The sequence below is a fragment of the Homo sapiens genome, chromosome 14 (assembly GCF_000001405.40).
Source record: "Homo sapiens chromosome 14, GRCh38.p14 Primary Assembly".
NCBI classification, from domain to species: domain Eukaryota; kingdom Metazoa; phylum Chordata; class Mammalia; order Primates; family Hominidae; genus Homo; species Homo sapiens.
The window spans coordinates 94,974,038-94,981,891 of record NC_000014.9 but is presented as its reverse complement, the minus strand read 5'-3'; the positions used below and the strand labels follow the sequence as shown (position 1 = coordinate 94,981,891).

The following is a 7,854-nucleotide window of genomic DNA, read 5'->3' as shown; positions in this document are numbered from 1 at the left end:
TTTGTGCCCAGGACAGGCCGTAGCCAAGGATGGCACTAAAATACACACTGAGCAATAATGAGATGCTCTAGAGTTTAGGATTTGAATCTGACTTCACCACTAACTAGCTGTGTCATTGTGTGTGCCTTGAGTCGAGGCAGTGTATTTAGTAGCATGGGCTGTAAAGTTAGCCGGGGTTCAAATCTAGCCACATGAACTTGAGCCTCAGTTGTCTCATCTACAAAACCAGAATAGCAGTAAGACACACCTCACTGACTGACTGGTCGTGAGGATTAAACACGGGAACACAAGTAAAACACTTATAATATTGCCTGGAAGAAAGAAAGAAAGGGCTTATTAAATGTTGGCTATTCTCGATGATAGTAATAACAGCAGGGTAGCAAATACAATCACTGCCCTGCCCTAATCCCCATGCCCTTACCATTTCAGTTCATGCCTGCCCATCTCCCAACTATTTGCACTCCTTGCCCCAGGACTTTCCCTTTATGCTTCCTATCAGCTCTGCAGGCAAGTGAGGCAGGCTCGAAATGCTGAGGAATTAATGCTTGGGAGGAGCAGCCCTTAACAATGGCTAATGTAAGTTGATGGATAAATACCTCAGCTCCCTCACCTCCAAGGTGGGATAGCTCAGGCATATATTCTGCACCATTTTCCAGAGCTCCCCAGTGGGGTTGAGCTCTGTTTGGCCAGTAGTAACATGCTTAATAATCCACCCTTCTTTTCCTTCACTGTCTCACTTCTCTTTTTTTTGTTAATTTTTTTTTTTTTTTTTTTTTTTTTTTTTTTTGAGACGGAGTCTCGCTCTGTCGCCCAGGCTGGAGTGCAGTGGCGGGATCTCGGCTCACTGCAAGCTCCACCTCCCGGGTTCACGCCATTCTCCTGCCTCAGCCTCCCAAGTAGCTGGGACTACAGGCGCCCGCCACTACGCCCGGCTAATTTTTTGTATTTTTAGTAGAGACCGGGTTTCACCGTTTTAGCCGGGATAGTCTTGATCTCCTGACCTCGTGATCCGCCCGCCTCGGCCTCCCAAAGTGCTGGGACTACAGGCGTGAGCCACCGCACCCAGTCAGTCTTCTGATTTTTTTTTAGTTCTTTATTAAATGTTATAGATGCAAGCATTTAGATGGAATTGTGCTTCTGCAAGTAATATATTTATTTTAAATGAAATGTTCACCTTTTCAATAGTGCCATGAAGAATGGCTTTTAGAGAGATTGCCCTAAGAATCCCCTGGCCACATTGCTTCTCTGTTTAAAATCCTTTATGCATTCCACAATGTTTATTGAGCACCTACTGTGTGCAGGCACCGTGCTGGGTGCTGGGGATGTATCAGTGAACATGCCAGTGTGCCTTGGCCTCATGAGGCCTGCCTGCCAGCAGGGGAGAGAGATAAAAGACAAAAGTAACATGAAAATATGATGTCAGGTATTAATAAGCGCTCTGAAGAAAATAAAGCAGGAAGAGGGTATAGCAAGTGCAGGATAGAGATGTCATCCTGAGGAGGCATCCTTGGAGCAGAGACTCAGATGAAGGGAAGGACTGAGCCATGGGACTCCCCTGTGGAAAGATGAATTGACCTGCTAACCTGGCAATGGTTGGCTTTGTTTTCAGATAAAGCCCACATTCCTTAAAGTGACATTCCATGTCTTTCCCAATCTGTTTCTTGTCTCTACATTTTCATCTTCATTTCCTGTCAGTTCCCAAAGCCATGCCAAGCATCAGCCATGCTGCAAAACCAACATTTCCTCCCAAAATATATTGTTCTATTCTCTTCTGTCAGCTCTCCTCTGGCTTAGGCTTGGGGAGCCGGGAATGAGTCCAGCAAAGGCTCAGCTTCCCAGGGAGAGGGAGGGACATGAGAAGAGGTGAATGAATGACAGAGGTGATTGTCCACAGCAGCCCAGGGCAGCTCCGCTGGACAAAAGCCCAGGTGGGGATGAAGAGGATGCATGGATGAAAAAGATCACAGGAGCATCATCTTCCCTGGGATTTCTCGTGTAACACTGTGAATGTATTGGCTTGTTGGTCCCATCTGCACTCTGCTTGCTCTGTGTCACCAGTTCAGGATTTATCCAAAAGAATTCTGCAGTCAAATTACTTTGAGACAAGCTGTACTTATGCCCCCTATAGAGATTCACCGTAAGCTCTGACATAATAAATGCTCTGAGAAGTCCTGTAGTAAAGAAATGTGTTGAGCTTTACTTTAGCATTTTCCAAACCTATCTGGTGGCAAAAGTCTTCCATTCCTATAGAACATCTATTACAATCTCCCAGAAACATTGCTGGGCTGTGCACACAGGTGAAAACCAGAGTTAGAGTCAATGGTAATTATTAACAGTTGAAGTTTAGTGGGAGATGATTGTTAGAATCCATAGATTCATATTCCTTTAAACTTTGACCTATGTTCAGATTGCCACCAAAACAAAAAAAATGTGGGACATACTGAGTGGCAAATACGTATGCTTATTTTAATTAAGACCTATAACTATGTATGGAAAGAAAGCATAAAATGATTGAGTTGGGGGCTATATTCCTCTTTGTAAATGTTATTTTCTTCTGTTATTTTTGCTGATAAACGCTTAACCGATTGTCCTGCTCAGGGACAAGCAAGATTTCCCTTGGTGGTAAAAGGTCCAAGGTCCAAGGAGATGACAGGGTTCCTGAAGGAGCAGCTTAGGTAGGAAAAAGGGGGCTAGATAAGAGAAAATCCTCCCAGAATCCTCCTGCACCCAGTGACTGTCACTATACAGAGACCTCTCGAGGGCAAGATCTGGGTTTATGCATCTCTGTGCCCATATGTTACACAGAGCTTGGCACAAAGGAGGTGTGCAGTAAAGCTTTGCTGAATGAGTGAAGGAATGCATGAATAGTGATTCCTTGTGTTCTTACTTCCTCAACACTTAATTGTTCACTTATTATGAACTATTTACAATACCTCCTACTGTGTGCCAGCCGGGATCTAGGGATGTCCAACACATGATCCCTTCCCTAAGGAGCTCACAGTGTAGTCATCTTTAATTATTTTCATTTTAGGGGTCCCTTCCAGCTCTGGACTCTGCCACTCACCCTAAGATTCTACGATTCTGTCATTCTGAAACTCTGTTATTCTAAGATTCCACGATTCTACAACTCTCCTCATGAGCCCTGGACATCTGCCTTTATTTTGGATCCTCTGTTGGACTAGTTATCTAAATAGGAATCTTCTCAGTTCATTTATTTGTGAATGTGTATCAAGCATCGATGAAGAGGTCACCTCTAAGAAATTTGTAGATTCAGTTCAAGGTCAATTGAAGCTAACCGTATTAAAGCAAGATCTTATCTCTCCTCATGAAATATTAGCCGTTCTTTTTGAAAAAAAAAAAAAAAAAAAGAATTAGGCCAAAATAGTTCACATAAAGAAAAAAAAGACTTCATTACTGCATATATTTACGCATATGCTCATTTGGTGGTTTCTTCTCTTAATTACGAACAGGAGGAAAAGATCTAGGGTCATACGAAGGGTATGTTGTGTATGGACGGGGCCACAGGCAAAGTTCACAGAGGGTAGCACTGAGGGTTGGAGGGAAGCAGGGAGTCCACTAAGCCAGTCACCCACTCGCCCAAGGCCACATAGGAGGTGAAGGCAGAGAACCACCCCAAGTCGGTTTCCTCCTCCTGGTTCCGTGTTCTCCTTGCATCCTGAGGCTGACCAGACAGGTTGACAATGACCAGGGAGATGGGACCAGGTCATTGCAGGCCCAGGCTCTCCACCTCTGTGTGCATCCTCTGAGAACATAGATTGGTAGCCCTATTGAGTGACACAGAGTGACATGGTAGGAGGAGGCTGGGTTGGAACTCTGGGGGATTTAATTCAAACTCCAAACCCAAGGTGGGCTTGGACGAGTCACTTCTCTTCTCTGAGCCTTGGCTTCTTCGACTCTAAATTAAGGATGTTGAAGTAAATGATTGCAAAATTAAATTGCTATGAGTCCCCATTTATGCTTATAGTGGTTATTTTTTAAAATGTTATTATACAAATAACATATTAATACGTTATATACAACATGATATATCTATAAATATGAGTGCATTATAGACAAGGCTAAAGTTCGTTTTGACTTCAACCCAATCCTGCTTCTTGTTTGACTTCCCCGAAGAAACCATATCAGCTTGGTTTGTATCCATGCATTTATATAACACTATACACACACACACACACACACACACACACACACACATAGACATACATATATAATATGTACATAGTATAACATCATCTATGTGTGTGTGCTTGTATGGTTTTTTTTGTTTGTTTCTTTGTTTCTTATTACCATTCTGTACTCAGCTTTTCATTCAATAATATGCCTTGGACATCTTCCCATAATAATCATTATTTTTGATGATTTGCAATATTTTAATTATTCTCAATGTTTTAAATTATTGCTTTGCAGTCTACTGTATGAGTTTATCTCAGTCTATGTTGTCATCCCTCTGTTGGTGGTCATTTATGTTGCTTCTTTTCTTTACTGGGTTTAATTTAATGGTTTAAGTTTTTAATGCTACTTTGTGAACTGTATTGGCTGTTGCATCAAAGATTCAGTAGTAGCTCAAGTCAGGAATGTAATACAATGCCTGCGTTCTCTTACCTGAGGGTAAAATAAAGTTGCATAATTACCTCTCAAACAAGCCATAGCAACCACCTGTTGACTAGAGCCATTCCTGGAGTGCCAACAGGGGAGACTGCCTGTGATCTCTACTTGTTACTGTTGACCATCAGGAGTTGGGGAGGATAGATTCTTCTTTCTCTGAGATTAGGAAGTTAGCCACTCTGCCTTATAGTTTGTTTTTTTTTTTTTTTTTTTTTTTTATTAGACGGAGTTTTGCTCTTGTTGCCCAGCTGGAGTACAATGGTGCGATCTTGGCTCACTGCAACCTCCGCCTCTCGAGTTCAAGAGATTCTCCTGCCTCAGCCTCCCAAGTAGCTGGGATTACAGTCATGTACCACCACATCTGGCTAATTCTCTTTTTGTATTTTTAGTAGAGACGGGTTTTCACCATGTTGGTCAGGCTGGTCTCTAACTCCCGACCTCAGGTGATCCACCTGCCTTGGCCTCCCAAAGTGCTGGGATTACAGACGTGAGCCACCGTGCCCAGCCGATGCCTTATACCCTTAATATAAAAAAGTCCAAAACTTTTATAATGATATTTATTGTCATTGCAACTTCAGGTAAAAAGTGACCACCTACAATTTAACAGTCTTCCTAGGAAATATATCTTTTTAAGAACAAAGGATAACTGCACATACATTTGCCCTTTCAGTGTGTTGCTCTATTAAGATATTCATCCATCATTGCGTGTATATAAGTATATGAATGTGGAAGCATTTGGACAATTTCAAATATCTTTTGAAAGTCCTCTAATCACTTGGTATTCTGGTGTTTACTGACAAGATCATAGTAAAATTACTCCACCTGACAACTTCCAATTTATTTTTATTTTTAAAATTTCCTTTATTTATTATTATTTTATAGAGACAGGGCATTGCGTTGCTCTGTCGCCCAGTCTGGAGTGCAGTGGTGTGATTGTAGCTCACTGCAGCCTAGAGCTCCTGGGCTCAAGCAATCCTCCCACCTCAGCCTCCCAAGTATCTGGGAGTACAGGCATGCACCACCATAATCAGCTAATATTTTTATTTTTTGTAAAGGTAGGGTCTTGCTATGTTGCCCAGGATGGACTTAAACACCTGGTCTCAAGTGATCCTCCTGCCTCAGCCTCTCAAATCTACTTCCTTTTGGATAAATTTTTTTACCTAAAAGTTTGGAACAGGTGGGGTGCCTAAATGCCTACAATACCCCTTACACTTTACTCCCTAAGAGAAAAAAGAAATGCAAGTATATTTTAAACTGGATAAGAACAAAGCAAAAATTGGTTTCAAGTAAGATTTTAGTATTGCAGGCACCAGTCTGAGTCCGTCTTTAGGCTAGGTAACTTTATGACGATTACACAGGCGTAATTACCCGTCAGAAGTCTGATAAAAGACAGCAAGACCATGAATATTGATGCACTTTCAGAATGCTGGTTGGAAGACCACGGAATTAACACTGATGGCTCTGGTTGTATTTGCCTTGTTGCTTATTTTCTATTTCCCTAGGCAATACGGCATTTCCTGCCTCCTACAGGAAATGATTATGTGTCCCTCTGATGGAAGTGATGACTGAGAAGAGTGGAGGCTGGGTTTTTGCTCTGACCCTGTCCTGGGCTGATGAGTGGCTCAGGAATGATCTGTTTCTGGCTGTTGTTTCTTCCCTCTCTCCTCTACTTTGCTGCATAGTACTTGACCTTCTGGATCTCTCTTCCTCTTGAGATCTGAATTACCAGGACTCTTGGCTGGCAGGTTTTGGAAGCCTGACTCACACTGGCTCAAGCAGAAAGGGAAATTATGGCTGCCCTGGCTAAGAAAGTTATTGGGGTGGGTCCCAGAACTAGCAGGTTACATACCCACTCTACAATGATCAGGGTGCTTGTTATCACAAGAAGAAGGATGGGAAAGCTTGCTGGGCTCCCAAAGGCATTGGCTATTCTTTATTTTGAGAATATCTGCCCAGAACCCTCATAATCCTAGAAGGCTTAAAAATGAAGGCCCCTTTTTTTCTACTGACCAAACCTTACTATTAAAAAAAAAAAAGGCTTAAGAGAGAAAGAGGAACAATACTAACATGCTTTTGTGCTGTGGAAGAGCCAGCCAGCGGGTGGGGCAGGGTGAGCCAGTCAGAGAGAGGGAGTGTGAGCAGGTACAAGAGAGAATGACCACGTGGAGTAGTACTCAGTGACAGACACATCAGTGACATCTGGACCTGCCACTCCAACCCACAGCCTGCTGAAGCCAGCTGACTGAGTGGGCCCAGCTGACACCACATGAAGCAGAACTGTTTGGCTGAGCCCTGCCTGAATCCCTGACATGCAGAATTATGAGAAATAATACATCAATGTTGTTTTGAGCCTTTACGTTTTGAGGTGGTTATATAGCAACAGGTAACAGAAATGTTGGGAATTCTGTGAGTTTTTTCCTTTTAAATTCTAATTGTTTTGTGCTTGGTGAGGTGATCCTTCTAAAGTTTGACTCCCTTGCATGCTTTGAAAGTGCACTTTCTCTTTCCTTTTTGAACTGTTACTATCCCTGAGCCTTGCTCAAATTAATAATTAATAATTAATACTTAATCTTGCTCAGATTAATACCGGGTCAAAACAAAGATCTGAGCCCTCAAATGTATAAGGCACTTACTTATCTTGCGTGGGATGGTAAACTGGACTTTAGACCCTTCTTTATGCCAATGGCTTGGTGGAGTGAGGAAAGAAACTGTTAAGGGCTAGGGGAATTCACTTTATGTTTGCCTTTTGTATGTTATTTAACATTTAAATGGTATTTTCTGGATGTAAAAGTAATGTATACTCACTATAAAAATTTGTAAAATGCAGAAAAGTATAAATAAGTAGAGAAAGTTAGAGATCGCTTCTAATTTTATCATCCTGGTATAGGTAGCATTACCAGTTTCGTATATCTTCCCTCCAGTCTTTTTTCTGAGTACACACACAGACACACACATACACACATATTTTACACAGTTGAAATCATTATAATGCACAGTTTTGTGTCCCTTTGTAACTTTTTTCTTTTTCTTTTTTTGAGGCAGGGTCTTGCTCTGTCACCCAAGCTGGAGTGCAGTGGTGCCATCATAGCTCACTGTACCCTCGACTTCCTGAGCTCAAGTGATCCTCCTGCCTCAACCTTCCAAGTAGCTGGGACTACAGCTGTGCACCACCATGCCTGGCTAATTAAAATTTTTTTTTTCTGTAGAGATGGGGGTCTCCCTATGTTG

At 42.2% G+C, this 7,854-nt stretch overlaps 1 annotated feature.

Annotated features, from left to right (window-relative positions):
* Window positions 1,311–1,891: an enhancer, noted in NCBI's record as "NANOG hESC enhancer chr14:95446338-95446918 (GRCh37/hg19 assembly coordinates)". NCBI's record gives its function as "activates a minimal SCP1, AML or CMV promoter by ChIP-STARR-seq in primed H9 embryonic stem cells {active_cell/tissue: H9 hESC(primed)}" and the evidence as "EXISTENCE:reporter gene assay evidence [ECO:0000049][PMID:30033119]".